At 41.1% G+C, this 18,026-nt stretch overlaps 1 protein-coding gene and 1 long non-coding RNA gene across 7 annotated transcripts in view; one reads left to right on the plus strand and one right to left on the minus strand.

The window, feature by feature from the left end:
• Nucleotides 1-18,026, minus strand: part of LOC124901952 (uncharacterized) — a 45,162-nt gene that overhangs the window by 17,642 nt on the left and 9,494 nt on the right. The gene's annotated exons all lie outside the window — the stretch shown is intronic.
• The window catches only part of NKAIN3 (sodium/potassium transporting ATPase interacting 3), a 750,799-nt gene continuing 750,417 nt past the window's right edge, over nt 17,645-18,026 (plus strand). For all 6 annotated transcript variants that reach the window (NR_130764.2, XM_017013359.2, NM_001304533.3 and 3 more), the window contains exon 1: nt 17,645-17,918. Coding sequence is in view for 5 of the 6 variants with exons in the window: in XM_017013359.2 (XP_016868848.1) it covers nt 17,865-17,918 (54 nt within the window). In the remaining variant the exon portion in view is untranslated. The remainder of the gene's footprint in view (nt 17,919-18,026) is intronic.

Here is an 18,026-nt window from a genome sequence, read left to right on the forward strand (position 1 = left end):
TCAACTCAGAGGTTTTATTGTTATACTATTTAATTCCAGTCATGTAACGACTTACCGATTCATGTGCTGGGTTTTTTCCTTTAGGTCTCACTGGCTAACAGACACTTCCAAGGTTGAAAGGTACAGGGTAAGCTCAACTCAGCTGCAGTTAAACATGAACTTTTGAGGGGCACACATCCAAACACATTAGGAATAAAAAAGCTGCCAGAAGAACATCTTCATTGTTCTTCTGCCATACATGCATATTATAAATGATTGTGCTTCACACACAGTCTCTGCAGCATAAACCAGCCCTTAAGCTGGGCATGATTACATGTTCATATTAATGCCTTGCCGAGGTTTATATTTCTAGGGTGCTACTCTATCTTTTAATCCACTTGGTTTCTAGAATAACCCCCAAAGTATCTAGAAGAAATGACTAACACAGCTAGTCAATGATTGACATCTCTTTTTCCTGCCTCATAGCCATTACTTACCATCAGCATAACATATGGATACTATATTGATTAAGGCAAGTAATATTAGCTGATATAACAAACATCCTAAATTTTAGTGACTTAACACAATAAAACTTTATCTTTGACTCATGCGAACATTCCTAGTTGGGGAAGACTTTCCATATGATCATCCAGTGTCTCTGTGTCTTCCCTTTGTTGCTTCACTCTCCTAGCTTTCACCTGATTGAGAAGAAAGAGGGAGACAATGGAGGTTTGCATGTGGAAAGTTTCTAAAGGCCAGATGTGAAAGATAATATATTAATTATGTCCTCATTCTTGTGCCATAATCAGCCACATGGCCATACCTGACTAGAAGCTAGGCTTGGAAATGTTACCAAACTCTGAGACTGAGATGGAAAAGAAGAAAGATTTGGAGAACATATGGCACTCTCTGCCACATATATTATGCTGCTTCTAAACTCCTCATTTTGTCCTGTGATCTCCTCTGCCTAGACTACTCCCACCAATTCATGCCCTTCCCAGCTCTAGAAAATGTTCACCTGTCATGATCACTGAGCTCAGATATTGCCTTATCTGGGAGACCTTTCCTGATACGCTCATCCTCATTCTCAATTTGTATTAGGTGCCCCTTTCCTTGTTCCCTTTCCATTCTTATCTATTCTCTATTATTAAGTCACATGAGTTGTGTTAACAGTTTCTAATTTTGGACAGTGCATATTAGTGACTAACTACATATTGGTTAAGCGACTGAAAGAATGGAGCCCATCATTTCTCTTACTATGACATGTTCTCTAGTGGTACCAAGATGGCAATCCTCCAACAGGTGCAGGATTAGCTTCGTAAGAATTACCCACGGCTCATCCCTGTAATCCCAGCACTTTGGGAGGCCAAGATGAGAGGATGGCTTGGCACCAAAGATTTGAGACTAGTCTGGGTGACAAAGCAAGATCTTGTCTCTTAAAAAAGAAAAGAAAAGAAGGCTCACCTGTGGAGTTTGTTATACCCAGTCCCTTAGCATCAATCTCCAATTGATCATTCCTCCTCCCTTGCCCCACGGAGCAGGGGATACTTCTGGACTTCACTGAACTTGAGTCTGGTCATGTGACTCATTTTGAGTAATAAAATGTGTCTGGAAGCTAGGGTGGGTCAGTTCCAAACAGGGACTTTAAGGGCCATGAAATGTTTTCATTCATCTTCTTATGCTCCTGCCATAGTCATAAAAACTGCAGACTCCGTGTAGCTGCTGTTCCTTTTGTCTGTGTTCTAGAAAGAGAGTCCTGGGGCAGACTTGAACCCAAGCCCAGCCCAGATCAGACCAGCTGTCTTAGTCTATCTGGGCTGCTATAACAAACTACTGTAGACAAAGTAGCTTATTAACAACAGAAATTTATTTCTCACAGTTCTGGAAGCTGAGAAGTCGAAGATTAAGGCATTGGAAGATTCTGTGTCTGGTGAGGTCCTGCTCCTCAAAGACAGCAACTTCCACCTGTGTGTTTGCATAGCAGAAGGGACTAGCTAGCTGTCCAGGGTCACCTGTATAAGGACAGCAATCCTACTTATGAGAGTTCTACCCTGGTGACCTAATCATCTCCTCAAAACCCCACCTTCTAACCTCAGTGACTAGGTTTTAACATATGAATTTTGGGGGGACATAAACATTCAGATCATAGTACCATTCCCTCTGAGCCACAACCAAATTCACAGCAGTGGGTAAAATAAATATCCGTGAGCCACTGAGATTTTCAGCAGTGTCTTACACAGCATAACGGAAGCAGGGTAAGGCCTAGAAACCTGCACATTAAAAACACTTCAGCCACCCACATTTGGAAACTACTGTACACATTAGACTTTTCATTAACAGGAGAAAACCTAACATTTAAGTGGATGGAACAGGATATCTACAAAGACTTTATCAGCCATCCTCCCAGACACATGGCAGGGTGTTGAATCCCAGCATTTCCCGAGTGGTTGGAATATGAGCTCATCCACAGTGGGGTTTTGGGGAAGCAAAGGGGCCCTGGGTATGAGTACTGCTGTTCCCTTCCAACCTCGACGTGGGCAACAATGATGACTGAGCCTACGCAGGATGTATGTTGTTGTAGTTTTTTCTTTCAGCTTTGAATTCATCATTTCATCACAGTATTAAAATGGGCAGGATAACCAAATCTTGTGTGATCACTTATGTCTATGTTGCTAATCATTAACTACATCATGTAAAGGTAACATAATTATGTTCTGCATGTAGTGTGTAGTAATAAGAGCTATACTGTTGACTGTGAATGGCATAATTACTATTTCATATGTCTGCAAGGTTGTTTGGGTTTTTTCCCTACGTGGCTGACATGTAAAATGTTATTATTGGCCATTTTTTTTCCCAAGGTGCTCTAGTGATTTTTTTCATCCCTCTTTTAGCCCCACTAATATCACCACATGATACTTCTCCAGTGGCATGTGTTCTCTGTTTATAATGACAAGTGACGATTTGCAATAGGAACAAAAGTACCTGGTTCTTTGAAAGCTGTTCCTATGTGCTATGGTATAACAAATGACAAAGGAATTTGACTTTTGCTATTTCTTCAGTGGAGTAGAGAAGGTGTGGGGAACAGAAATATGTTTAACTCTATAAATACGATGGCTTATTTCCTTGTATCATATCAAAGAAAGGGGAAATAGTCATAAGAACCCTGAGAAATTTGTCACATCCATGAATCACATTCAGTAGGAAGATTAGAATTTTTATTTCTTTTTTTTTTTAACTAGTTGATGTTAACATTCATTTCAACTACAGCGTTATAAACCCAAAGGACAGGCATATTATACAGAAATCCACCAGGGCTCCTCTCAAGTTGGTCACAGCTACAGTCCTGGCTTATTCTTTGTGCCTGCCAAGCTCCTTGCACAGTCTCTGACACATACAGGAAATGTAATAAATGTTTGTTAATGCACAGTGGTGGGAAGGGAAGATTTATGGTGAGCCAAAATGAGAATCACTGAAGATGCCAATCCAAAAAGCTGCGCATGTGGTTAAAAAAACAAATGCTTCCAAAAACTTTTACCGTTTGTCCCTGTCCAAGGAGGTCTCATGCTCACACCCATTGCCTGAAGCATTTGGGGTGCCCACTAAGATAAGTCATCAGCGTGTCACCTCTTCACACTCTGGCTGACCCTATGCTGAAACAAGTGATTCAGAAGATTTTTGTCTGCTGTTATCTTTTGTATAGACACCACAGAATTTTTTATAGTTTCATCAATATTTTTAACAAATCATATTTTCAATTTTTTCTTTAATAGACAGACATAAATATGATCTAGTTTTAAATTCATATGCCCATATCTCATGTTAGAAAACAGCACTCTTTATCGAAATTGAGGCAGTTTATGTAAAATGACTAACTTGCTAAGTATTTGTAAGCAAACTGAGAAGCTTTTTTTTTTTTAAAGAACAGTGCAGAAAAAATCAGAGTCTCCCTATCATAACCAATATAAAATCTGCTATTAATCTGTGTAGATTGAATTTACTCTGCAGAAAACAGGAGTATATTTTCCGGGCTTAACTTATCACAGGAATTCAGGCAATATTTTCTCTCATTAGTATTGTGTCTGTCATAGGATAATAATAAAGGTAAATAGAACAAATATTGTATAGCACATAACAAGCATTTTATTCATAAACATCATTAGGTACTCAAAAACAGGAAATTCAGATGGTTTAATCCTTATATCAGAAAGCACAGGATTAATACTAACTTTGATCATCAATGACAAAGCAAAGCTCTGGGTTCTTCAAGTAAGATTCTAACTACAAGTTTGACCTTAGTGTTAATGTCTTTATCTTTTAATGCCTGGTGCAGAAGCATGGCTAATGATGACCAGCAGCTCCACCAGAATATATTTATTCCTAAAAATTTTGGTTAAAGAGGTTCTGGGTTTTTCTCCCTTATGCAAAGTTACCAGATTGTTCTCAGCCCTGGTGGCCTTTTGGATGACCCAGGGATAAAAGTTTCACCAGAGAGGGCCTGGTTGAATTTTGACTTCCCTACAGGAAGTTAGAGATCACATTGTCTTTGCACCTTGTTTGGGACCCAAGGCCCTTCACAAGGTGGCTTCAGGACACTTACTCACATATAACTACCACCATTTGCTAATATAAAACACCAAAAGCTAGTGTAAATCTGGCTTCCTGTCTTTCTATGCTCCTTTCTGTAGTGGAAATGATGTGGTCTGAGGGGAAGGACTATGGGCTTTGGAAAGAAACATATCTGAGTTTGAGGTGCCTTTTCTGCTGGTCATGAGAGTGGGCCCCCTGAATTATAGCTGTGATCATCTTCAGATCCTATTCCTTCTTAAAGTTGTTGCTGTTCCTTTTTAATCTCTCTGTAGCACTTGGCACCACAGACCACGCCTTTCTTGGCTGGTCTCTTCTCCTACCTATCTGAGCATTATTTTCCAGTATTATCCAATGCAGTTTTACTAAAAATAATACAATGACAAAAGAAGGCCCCACATTTATTGAGACTCTACAATAAACCAAGCACTGTAGAAGGAGGTTGGTATACATGACATAAAACCTTGCCCCTGCCCTTAGTTAGCTTACTGTCTGCAGGAGAAACAAGATTATTTAAAAATAATTGCAAATCTCATAATATGTAAGGAATAGTTGTAGTAGTACTAGTTAGTAGTAAAGACAATTAGAAAACAAGATTTTTTTTTATTTCAATAGGTTATTGGGGAACAGGTGGTGTTTGTTTACATGAATAAGTTCTTTAGTGGTGATTTCTGAGATTTTGGTGCACCCATCACCTGAGCAGTGTACACTTTACTCAATATGTAGTCTTTATCCCTCACCCCCTCATCCATTCCCCCGAGTCCCCAAAGTCCATTGTATCATTCTTATGCCTTTGTGTCCTCATAGCTTAGCTCCTATTTGTGAGTGAGAACATATGATGTTTGGTTTTCAATTCCCGAGTTACTTCACTTAGAAAAATTGTCTCCAATTCTGTCCAGGTTCCTGCAAATGCCGTTACTTCACTCCTTTTTATGGCTGAGTAGTTTTCTGTGGTATATATGTATATATTATATATACATATATGTATATATAATATATATGTATATATTATATAATATACACATATACATATATAATATAATATACACATATACGTATATGTATATATAATATACATATTATATATAATATACATATACGTATATGTATATACATACATATATGTGTGTATATACATATACGTATATGTATATATTATATACACACATATATAATATATACATATACGTATATGTATATATAATATAATATATACATATATATACATGCATATATCACACAGAAAACTAGATTATTAAAGTTCTTAAATGCCTGCATGAGTAGCTTCAGCTTTATTCTGCAGGTCAGTTCTATTTAAACTTTTCAAAATTCATCATTGTAAGTAAAAAAAAAATTGAGGCTGCACCAGTGAACACACACACACACACACACACAATATATATGTAGTCAATGATTATTATTCTCAGAACACATATTACCAAATTCACCTATTAGCTAAAATTTATTTGCAACCTTCAAATCAATACTCACAACATATTACAGTCATTCATTGTCATGTGCAAAGCAGGAAAAAAATTGAGGCAGATATTCTTAGCTGAAGTCAAACAAGGTGATGCTCTGCCTTTTTAAAAAATTTATTATTTGGTTTATACAGTAGATTATTATTGAATTTATTATTTATATTTCCACAAAAAAACCCAGGTGCAGGAGAATTTTTCATTTCACAGGAGGAAATAACAAGTAGTATATTAGACCATTAAAAGACTAGAAGGAGAGGAAATACTTCCCAACCTTTTTTTATATATATATACTTTAAGTTCTGAGATATTTGTGCAGAAACCGCAGGTTTGTAACATAGGTATACACGTCCCATGGTGGTTTGCTGCACCCATAAACCCATCATCTACATTAGGTATTTCTCCTAACGCTATCCATCCCCTAGCCCCCCACACCCTGACAGGCCCTGGTATGTAATGTTCCCCTCCCTGTGTCCATGTGTTCTCATTGTTCAACTCCCACTTATGAGTGAGAACATGCGGTGTTTGGTTTTCTGTTCCTGTGTTAGTTTGCTGAGAAGGATGGTTTCCAGCTTCATCCATGTCCCTGCAAAAAACATGAACTCATCCTTTTTTATGGCTGAATAATATTCCACAGTGTATATGTGCCACATTTTCTTTATTGAGTCTATCATTGAAGGGCATTTGGGTTGGTTCCGAGTCTTTGCTATTGTGAACAGTGCTGCAATAAACACATGTGTGCATGTGTCTTCATAATAGAATGACTTATGATCCTTTGGGTATATATCCAGTAATGGTATTGCTAGGTCAAATGGTATTTCCGGTTCTAGATCCTTGAGGAATCACCACACTGTCTTTCACAATGGTTGAACTAATTTACTATACCAATAACTGTGTAAAAGCATTCCTATTTTTCTGCACCCTCAACAGCATCTGTTGTTTCCTGACTTTTTAATGATTACCATTCTAACTGACATGAGATGATATCTCATTGTGCTTTTGCATTTCTCTAATGACTAGCGATGATGAGCTTTTTTTCATGTTTGTTGGCCACATAAATGTCTTCTTTTGAGAAGTGTCTGTTCATATCTTTTGCCCACTTTTTGATGAGGTTGTTTGGATTTTTCTTGTAAATTTGTTTAAGTTCTTTGTAGATTCTGGGTATTAGCCCTTTGTCAGATGGATGGATTGCAAAAATTTTCTCCCATTCTCTAGGCTGTTTGTTCACTCTGATGATAGTTTCTTTTGCTGTGTGCTCTGTAGTTTAATTAGATCCTATTTGTCAATTTTGGCTTTTGTTGCCATTGGCTTTTATGTTATAGTCATGAAGTCTTTGCCCATGCCTATGTCCTGAATGGTATTGCCTAGGTTTTCTTCTAGGGTTTTTATGGTTTTAGGTCTTACATTTAAGTCTTTAATCCATCTTGAGTTAATTTTTGTATAAGGTGTAAGGAAGGGGTCCAGTTTCAGTTTTCTGCATATGGCTAGCCAGTTTTCCCAACACCATTTATTAAATAGGGAATCCTTTCCCCGTTGCTTGTTTTGTCAGGTTTGTCAAAGATCAGATGGTTGTAGATGTGTGGTGTTATTTCTGAGCCCTCTGTTCTGTTCCACTGGTATATATACATATATATACATACATACATACATACATACATACACACACTATTCCAAACAACAGAAAAACCATTTATTAAATAGGGAATCCTATTTATGCCATATATATATATACACATATATATATATACACACACACACATATATATATATATATACACATATCTGTTTTCATACCAGTACCATGCTGTTTTGATTACTGTAGCCTTGTAGTATAGATTGAAGTGAGGTAGCGTGATGCCTCCAGCTTTGTTCTTTTTGCTTAGGATTGTCTTGGCTATACAGGCTCTTTTTTCATTCCATATGAAATTTAAAGTAGTTTTTTCTAATTCTGTGAAGAAAGTCAATGGGAGATTGATGAGGATAGCAATAAATCTATAAATTACTTTGGGGAGTATGGCCATTTTCATGATATTGATTCTTCCTATTCATGATCACGGAATGTTTTTCCATTTGTTTATGTCCTCTCTTATTTCGTTGAGCAGTGGTTTGTAGTTCTCCTTGAAGAGGTCCTTCACATCCTTTGTAAGTTGTATTCCTAGGTATTTTATTCTCTTTGTAGCAATTGTGAATGAAAGTTCACTCATGATTTGGCTCTCTGTTTATTATTTGTGGAGAAGAATGCTTGTGATTTTTGCACACTCATTTTGTATCCTGAGACTTTGCAAAAGTTGCTTATCAGCTTAAGGAAACTTTGGGATGAGACAACAGGGTTTTCTAAATATATGGTCATGTCATCTGCAAATCGAGACAATTGACTTCCTCTCTTCCTATTTGAATACCCTTTTTTTGCTTTCTCTTGCCTGATTAACCTTGCCAGAACTTCCAATACTATGTTCAATAGGAGTGGTGGGAGAAGGCATCCTTGTCTTGTGCCAGTTTTCAAAGGGAATGCTTCCAGCTTTTGCCAGTTGAGTATGATATTGGCTGTGGGTTTGTCATAAACAGCTCTTATTATTTTGAGAAAGGTTCCATCAATACCTAGTTTAGCAAGAGTTTTTAGTATGAAAGGGTGTTGAATTTTATCGAAGGCCTTTTCTGCATCTATTGAGATAATCATGTGGTATTTGTCATTGGTACTGTTTATGTGATGGATTATGCCTTTTGATTTGCATATGTTGAACCAGACTTGCATCCTGGGAATGAAGCCAACTTGAAGATGGTGGTCAAGCTTTTTAATGTGATGCTGGATTCGGTTTGTCAGTATTTTATTGAGGATTTTCACATCGATGTTCATCAGGGATACTGGCCTAAAATTTTCTTTTTTTGCTGTTTCTCTGCCAGGTTTTGGTTTCAGGATGATGCTGGTCTCATAAAATTAGTTAGGGAGTAGTCCTTCTTTTTCTGTTGTTTGGAATAGTTTCAGAAGGAATGGTACCAGATCCTCTTTGTACCTGTGGTAGAACTGAGCTGTGAATCTGTCTGGTCCTGGGCTTTTTTTGTTGGTAGGCTATTAGTTACGGTCTCAATTTCAGAACTTATTATTGGTCTATTCAGGGATTTGACTTCTTCCTGTTTTAGTCTTGGGAGGATGTATGTGTCCAGGAATTTATCCGTTTCTTCAAGATTTTCTAGTTTATTTGTGTAGGGGTGTTTATAGTATTCTCTGATGGTAGTTTGTATGTCTGTAGGATCAGTGGTGATATTACCTTTATTATTTTTTATTGTGTCTATTTGATTCATCTACCTTTTCTCCTTTATTAGGCTGGGTAGCAGTCTATTTTGTTAATCTTTTCAAAAAACCAGCACCTGGATTCACTGATTTTTTGAAGGGTTTTTCGTGTCTCTGGCTGCCCTTAACATTTTTGCTTTCATTTCATCCTTGGTGAATCTGAAGATTATGTGTCTTGGGGTTGCTCTTCTCCAGGAGTATCTTTGTGGTGTTCTCTGTACTTCCTGAATTTGAATGTTGGCCTGTCTTGCTAGGTTGGGAAAGTTCTCCTGGATAATATCCTGAGGAGTGTTTTCCCACTTGGTTCCATTCTCCCATCACTTTCAGGTACACCAATCAGATGTACATTTGGTCTTTTCATATAGTCCCATATTTCTTGGAGGCTTTGTTGGTTCCTTTTCATTCTTTTTTCTCTAATCTTGCCTTCTTGATTTAGTTCCTTAAGATGATCTTCAATCTCTGATATCCTTTCTTCCACTTGAACTATTCAGCTATTGATTCTTGTGTAAGATTTACGAAGTTCTCAGGCTGTGTTTTTCAGCTCCATCAGGGCATTTATGTTCTCCTCTAAGCTGGTTATTCTAGTTAGCAATTCCTCTAACATTTTATCAAAGTTTTTCGCTTCCTTGCATTGGGTTAAAACATGCTCCTTTAGCTCGGAGGAGTTTGTTATTATCAACCTTCTGAAGCCTACTTCTGTAAATTCGTCTAACTCATTCTTTGTCCAGCTTTATTCCCTTGCTGGCAAGGAGTTTTCATCCTTTGGAGGAGAAGAGGGGTTCCTATTTTTGCAATTTTCAGCCTTTTGTGTTGTTTTTTCTTTATCTTCAAGGAGGTATCTACCTTTGATCTTTGATGTTGGTGAAATTTGGATGGGGTTTCTGTGTGTATGTCATTTTTGTTGATGTTGATGCTATTCCTTTCCATTTGTTGGTTTTCCTTTTAAAGGTCAGGCCCGTCTGCTGCAGGTCTGCTGTAATTTGCTGGAGGTCCACTCCAGACCCTGTTTGCCTGGGTATCACCAGCGGAGGCTGCAGAACAGCAAAGATTGCTGCCTGTTCCTTCCTCTGGAAGCTTTGTCCCAGAGGGGCACCTGCCAGATGCCAGCTGGAGCTCTCCTATATGAAGTGCTTGTTGAACCCTGCTGGGAGGTGTCTCCCAGTCAGGAGGTATGGGGGTCAGGGACTCACTTAAGAAGGCAGTCTATCCCTTAGCAGAGCTTGAACGCTGTGCTGGGAAATCCACTGCTCTTTTCAGAGCTGGCAGGCAGGAGTGTTTAAGTCTGCTGAAGCTGTGCCCACAGCCGTCCCTTCCCCCAGGTGCTGTGTCCCAGGGAGTTTTATCTATAAGCCCCTGACTGGGGCTGCTGCCTTTCTTTCAGAGATGCCCTGGCTAGAAATGAGGAATCTAGAGAGGCAGTCTGGCTACAGCAGCTTTGAGGAGCTGAGTTGGGCTCCATCCAGTTCGAACTTCCCGGGGGGCTTTGTTTACACTGTGAGGGAAAAACCATCTATTCAAGTCTCAGTAATGGTGGACGCCCCTCCCCTCACCAAACTCCAGAGTCCCAGGTGGACTTCAGACTGCTGTGATGGCAGTGAGAATTTGAAGCCAGTGGTTTCTTAGCTTGCTGGGCTCCACGGGAGTGGGATCCGCTGAGCTGGACCACTTGGCTCCCTGGCTTCAGCCCCCTTTTCTGGAGAGCGAATGGTTCTGTCTTGCTGGCATTCCACGCACCACTGGGTTATGAAAAAAAACTCCTGCAGCTAGCTCTATGTCTGCCCAGAGGGCCACTCAGTTTTGTGCTTGAAACCCTGGGTCCTGGTGGCATAGGCACCTGAGGGAATCTCCTGGTCTGCTGGTTGTGAAGACCATCAGAAAGGCATAGTATCTGGGCCAGAGTGCACTGCTCCTCAGGGCACAGTCCCTCATGGCTTCCCTTGGCTAGGGGAGGAAGTTCCCTGACCCCTTGAGCTTCTCAGGTGAGGCAATGCCCCACCCTGCTTCGGATGGCCTTCCATGAGCTGCACCTACGTCTAACCAGTCCCAATGAGATGAGTCGGGTACCGCAGTTGGAAATGCAGAAATCTGTGTTGATCTCGCTGGGAGCTGCAGACCGGAGCTGTTCCTATTTAGTCATCTTGTCAGCCACCCCTCTCATCACAGTACTTTTAACAGCTGACTGACTACTTACTCACTTTTCCTTGCTACCAATTTCATTTTCTAATTTTCTCCTTTGAGAACACAGAGGGAAACTATTTGGTTTTACCAAATAGTTTAATGGTTGTTTAAAAATCCTCTCAATTTCTTGAATAAAAATGTACAGGAAAAAGTAGAGTCATGTTCATATTGAGATGTAAGCTTGTCTTAGTGATTAAAAAATACAAATTGTATATTTATGTATCTTGGTGTAAGTATTTGGTGATTTTATATGAATATTAATATATCATGAACAACTAAGAAAAATCTATCATTCATGTTTCTGAAAAATAGTTCATTCCATATTAGCCTGAGTTAATGTATTTTGTGTTAGGTTTTACGTTTCTGATGGGCAATCTGTTCAGTACTTCATATGCTTGCTGTATATGCATCACACATTTGTATAAGATTCTTATTTTTAACTAGAAATAATCCTAGATGTACAGAAAAGTTGCAAAAGTAATACACAGAGATCCCATTACCTTTCACTCACCTTTCTTAATGGAAACCTTTTACAGAAACATAATGCAATAACATAGAGTTGAGTCTTGAGCCAGACAGGTGTGAGAAAATCTACTCCAAAAGTTCATTATATTATATTAATAGTCTTTCTGCTTATGTTATAGCAGTGCCTCCTTCGTTTGAAAACGGGAGGTAATGGGGGCAGTATTCTCTGTACTTTGGAGTGCTTAATGTAATCTAATAAATACACACATGCATGCTTACAGAAAACGTTCAGGGTGGCATCAGGATTTGCAGAGACTGTATTTGTGTTTTCTTTTCATTTCAATCATGTTACCCTCGCTCTTACTTTGTTACTGTCAATTGTTGGGGCTCTAGCCTATGAGGACTTGTCTGATCTGAGCTCCTGAAATCTTGAAAGCAGAGAGTAGCTGAGTTTTTAATGGTTGTAATGAATTGTTTGAATCTCTGATATGAGGACTGTGACACATGGCTCCCAAGATACACAGTATGCATGTTCGTTGCAGAGAAATCCCCAGTGGTTGCCAATACTCCGCAATAAATTAAGCAGTGAGGAATTCTTGAACTTGCCAGTGTTGGTTGGGCTGCTCACTGCATGACATTAAAAAAACACTAAATGGGCCAGGCGTGGTGGCTTATGCCTGTAATCCCTGCACTTTGGGAGGCTAAGGCGGGTGGATCACTGCAGGTCAGGAGTTCGAGACCAGCCTGGCCAACATGGTGAAACCCCGTCTCTACTAAAAATACAAAAATTAGGTGGGAGTGGTGGTGGGTGCCTGTAATCCCAGCTACTCAGGAGACTGAGGCAGGAGAATTGCTTGGACCTGGGAGGCGGAGGGTGGAGTGAGCTGAGATCGCACCATTGCACTCCAGCCTGGGCGAAAAGAGTGAAACTCTGTCAAAAAAAAAAAAAAAAAAAAAAAAAAGTAAAAAAAGAAAAACACTAAATGTGTATCATTGCAATACTAATTATCATAACCAGATCAGTGTTTTTAGGCCATTGATGGAGTTAATGTTAACTGAGGCTTATTATTAACCAAAACAGAAATGGAAAAAAGGTGCTTGGCTATATCTTTCCAATTGCAGAACTAATTATAAGTAACATTTATTCAATCAAAATATACCAAAGAACTTTTCTTATCCTTTCTCCTTTGGTTTCTCCCACTCCACAAGCTTTCCAGTGACCTTAGAAACACCCCCACACCATATGTCCATCTCTAATTTCTTTCTTATCTCCCGAAAAACAGCCATCTCCGGGGCATTTTTAAATGTTTATATGTAAAGTGTTTAAAATATCAAGAAATATCTATCTTTTTAGAAAGTAAGAAAATATAAAAAATATAACTTATCATTTTTCCCTCGTGCATGCCCCCAACATTCATACATTCAATGCTATGCATAATAAGTGAACCAATTCTAGCAAAAAGGATGGTCTCAACAGCCACACAATGGCACACTTATGTTCTGCAGCCCTTCGCAGGCATGCTTCAAACTAGCCATACATGTGTGTCCACATTTTGCTCCAGTGTAAACCTTATCTTCGCTCCACTTGAGCTGGCATACTGCTTTGAAATGTCTGTCAGATAATCATGAAGTGAAGCCAGTTGTAGGAGAAGGTGTAGAGAATTATAATTTGCTTGCTCCATGAAGGCCCCAAGGAGGTGCTCACAATTAAGCAGGCATCAGAGGAAACACATATATTTACTAATACATTGAAGAACTTTTCACAATGGAGGTAGAATGCTTAATCAGGCAATAAACTATTCAACTCAATGAAAATGCAGAACTGGGAGGTTCACACAAACAAACAAAAAACAGTGCAATAATTAAGGAGTAATTTTAACTCAAAACAATCTTAATTTAAGGAGAAACTTAAAGCTGGTGTCCCATATCCAGTATTTGAAACTGAACCCCCAAAAGTTGGGAATCTGGAAATCTGCACTTCTAGATCTGGCCTCTGGATGTGCTGTCTCCCCCAAGTTATCTGTTAGTTTGGACAACTACAACTCACTCCTCCTTTAAGGGAGATAGGACTGAAGTTTCTCAAAAGGAATTTCACCAAGAAATAAAAACATAGAAGAGATAGACATGAGACAAAAACAAAACAAAACAAACACACAGACTCAAATGGCATTAAGGAGTGTGTGTGTATACATATATTTAATACTCACTACATACTATATATGTGCACATATAATGTTCAACATGATGTGTGAAGTATTATGCTAAAAATGTACACATATTGTTCTTCATGCAACAAATATTGAATTTAACTACTGTTATAAGCACTGGGGAAACAGCTTTGTATTTGAGTTGGGGAGACAGGAAATCATACAGTAAGCAAACAATCAGTTTGAAGAAAAATAGAGTGACTGGAGTATTATTTTAGAAGGCCTGTTAAGTAAAGGCCTCCATGGGATGTGACATGAGGCTGAGACCTGCATAAGCCAAGGCTGTAAACTCCACAGAGACAGGCAAGGGGCAAATGCTAAGGCTTAGCCCTCTGGGGCAAGTCATTTTTATCACACCCACTTTATGTATGGGGAAAACAGGGCTCACAGGGGAGCAAAATGGCTTCTCTGAGATTCTATGGCCAAGAAGCAGCATGAACAGCCATATAGCTGATGGGCTGTTCTACTTAGATTATTTCCTCTCCAGTTGGTTTTACCCAACTCCTGTCCAGGCCGCATCCTTTCCATTGCTCTGTCATTTTTTAGTCTCATTTCCTCTCCCCAAGAGACTGGTAATTCCTCTTTTAAACCTTCTCTAACTCTCATAGGAAGAAAACTTAATGACAGCAGTCGGCACTAACCTCTTTCAGAGGGAGTGCTACTTTATGCCTGCATCTGCTCTCCCTTCCCACCTGTAAGTCCTTGAGGGGAAGAGAGGGAGTGGTATCATTTACCTTTGCAGAGTAGGCAACTAGCACAGCCCTTTGCATAGAAGCAATTAAGAAGTGAACTTGTAAGAAGTATTTGAGGGAAGGATGGAGAAAAGAAGGAAAAAAAGGAAGGGAGAAAGATTTTTAGTTCTGGATGTAATACAATTTAGAAAATGAGAATAAGAGATTGCAGAGAAAAATGAAGGTAGCTTCACACAATTTCTAGACTTCTTATTAGCATTGTGTTATCTTTGTTTCTTATTTAAATGCATTTAGTACAAATGCATTTTTCAACATCTTAAATTACACAAGGAAGAAACTCCAATTTGAGGCTATCAGTAAAGGCAGCAATGGGAAAGGGAGAGGTACAAGGGACCCTCCTGGTCTCCTAAAATCATACCACATGGGTGGTACTAACTCTGAATGTTAGATCAATGTACATTATTACACCTGCTTATGAGGGAACAGTTAGCTTCCCTGTGGGTAACTGCTATTTGTGTCCCAAGTTTCAGAGGCAGCACAGGGAATATGTAAATCCAGGAGCTCTAGAGTCAAATTCCCTGGCTTTGTATTCCTCTTCCTGGTTTAGCAGCCAGGGGAGCCTCTCCTCCTGTTTCCCTATCTTTTCAGTGATGATGCTCACAGCACCCACCCCAATGAGGTTGCAGTGATGATTAAATGAGTGAACACACATAAAGTACTTAGATGGGTGTATGGCACCTGGCAAGGACCCAGTGCAAGTTAGCTGCTAATATGGTACTTCCTAAATAAATAAAATCATGACAAAGTATACTGGGGTAAACATATGTAATTTGGAGAGAAGGAAGTGTCAGTATTTTTATTACCATCATTCATCACAGTCTCTGGAGATGAAAAGGTTACAACAATTTCTGGAAGTTATAGATAGAAGACTTGTTCATGTCCTCTCACTTTTCAGCTGCTTCCTACAGCTTTTAGAGGGGTCAATGGCCTGAGATGTTCTGCAATGTCCTTTTCTACATGCTAAACTACTTATTTGTCAGTGTTCATTTTTTTCTATTGTTTTCATCCATAAAGAATGATGACGAGTACGTGGATTGTGCATAAAGGCAGCGTGCTCACATGATCCTTGATCACTGATGTCTTAACGCTTGAATTAAAAAAGGAGGAGGAGTTCTGACTGGACTTCTCCTGTCTCCATGATAATATCAGAGGTGGAATGTAAACAATGAATGTTCTTGACCCTTTTAATAACCCAAATCCTGAGGTTATTCATGTGTCCCTACTAGAATTTCAAAGATGTGCAGACTTCCTTGGGAATGATAACCGTCTTAAATTATAAACATAGATCCTGAAGAAACGTTTCAGAAAGGATAAAAATAAAAACAGGACTGCTTTTAACGCCTGAACTAACGGCTTGAGCAGTTTCCATGTCTGGAGTGGAAGTATTAAAAACGCAAAGATGTCTTGCCTTTTCTTACCAACCTACCGCCAAGAACCCAGGAGGGCAGCAGTGGGCTAGAAACAGGGTTTCTGTGCCAAATTCTGAAAACAGCCTTTTCTGAGATAATTGGCCTGCAGGCTTGTTCCCTGTTCTGGTGTGCTTTTGAGCTCCTTGCGCAGTTCCACCAGGTACAACAAATGCGCCCATAAAATCTGTCTTTGAGCCCTGATGAAATTTCATCCTCTGCAGAACGCCTCCGCTCTGTTTTATTAGGTGGGAGAGAGCAGGAGAGTTTCCACAGGATTCAGAGAGAGTTTGTCCGTATCTTAACTATCCGAGATCTTCTTTCCAAATCCTTCTCAATTTATTTCTGTGAAGATATATTTATACCTATTCCGGAAACCTTCTCCATTTCTAGAAAAAGCTACGCATCTTCTTCTTCCTCGACTTCTCTTTTCTCCCTCCCGGTGAGGATTTCAAAGGGTATGTGAGAAAAGAACCTTAAGCCAGGTCTCCCCGCGGCGTCCTGGCTAGTCCCGGCGCCCTGGGCGGGTGCATCGCTCCGCCGCAGCGCCCCTTGCCACCCAACTCTGTCCAACTTTCCCTTTCAGACTCCAGCAGGGGCGCCCTCCAGGCAACCGGCTGTGGCGGGCAGAAGCAAGCTCGGATGGGAGACCCCCGAGCTGCGTGCCCAGCGCCGGCTCAACAGACTTGCCCGCGCAGCGCCCGCGGGCCCCCTCGCATCCGGGCAGGTTCCGGAGCTGGGCCTTGCGCTCCCCGGCGCCCGCCCACCCTGGGTGTCTCGCGTCCCGGCCCTTCCTCCCCGGAACCCAAGCTAACCCAACTCCCATCCTCGCCACCTCTGGGGCAGCTCAACTAAGCCGTGTCCCCTCCCTTGCAAACGCGTCCGACCACCCTCCCAACCCCCAGCACAACCCTCAGCAAGAAAGCCCAGCTGGGTCTACCCAGTTACACCGGTCAACGAGGGTCTCCATCGCCGCCGGCCGCCCTAATTCACGCTCATTCATATTCATTCTCTTTTCTCTCTGTCCCTCTTCCTTTCTCCCCAAAGACTCTTAACTAGACAGGCCGATCCTCCCCAGCGGCACTCCCTTTCATTCTTCCCTTCCCACCACACACACACACACACACACACACCCGGACCCAGACAGCCCACTCCACTTTCCAGACGCCCACCTCCTACATACTCCCCTCCCCTAAACAGACATTCACCCACTCGCCATCTGTAGCCTCCTTCCAACCCCCCGCCCCGCCCGCCTGGCTCCCCCTCCCCAAGAAACAGACCTGCACAGTGGGACGCAGGGACCCCCGCCAGACGCTCGGGTCGTGCGCACCGCACTGACCTCGGCCCGCCCCGCCGGGAAACTAACAAAGGCGGGCGCGAGCCCCGAGCCCTGGAGCCGCGAGCGGCGGCCGCGGGGCCGAGGAGCCTGGGCCGGGCCGGGCGGGGACTACTCCGGAGTCAGGAGGCAGCAGCGGCGGAGGACGAGGATCTCTGGCAGTCAGCGCCGCTCGGACGCCGCCGGCACCATGGGCTGCTGCACCGGACGCTGCTCGCTCATCTGCCTCTGCGCGCTGCAGTTGGTGAGTGCCCCGAGGGCCCCTGCCCCAGGACAGGTCCCTGCTCCAGGACCGGCCTCTGCGACTCCCTCTGCGGTTCCGCAGCTCCCGGCAAGGGGCGAACGGGTGAAC

This window comes from Homo sapiens, chromosome 8 (assembly GCF_000001405.40).
Source record: "Homo sapiens chromosome 8, GRCh38.p14 Primary Assembly".
NCBI classification, from domain to species: Eukaryota; Metazoa; Chordata; class Mammalia; order Primates; family Hominidae; genus Homo; species Homo sapiens.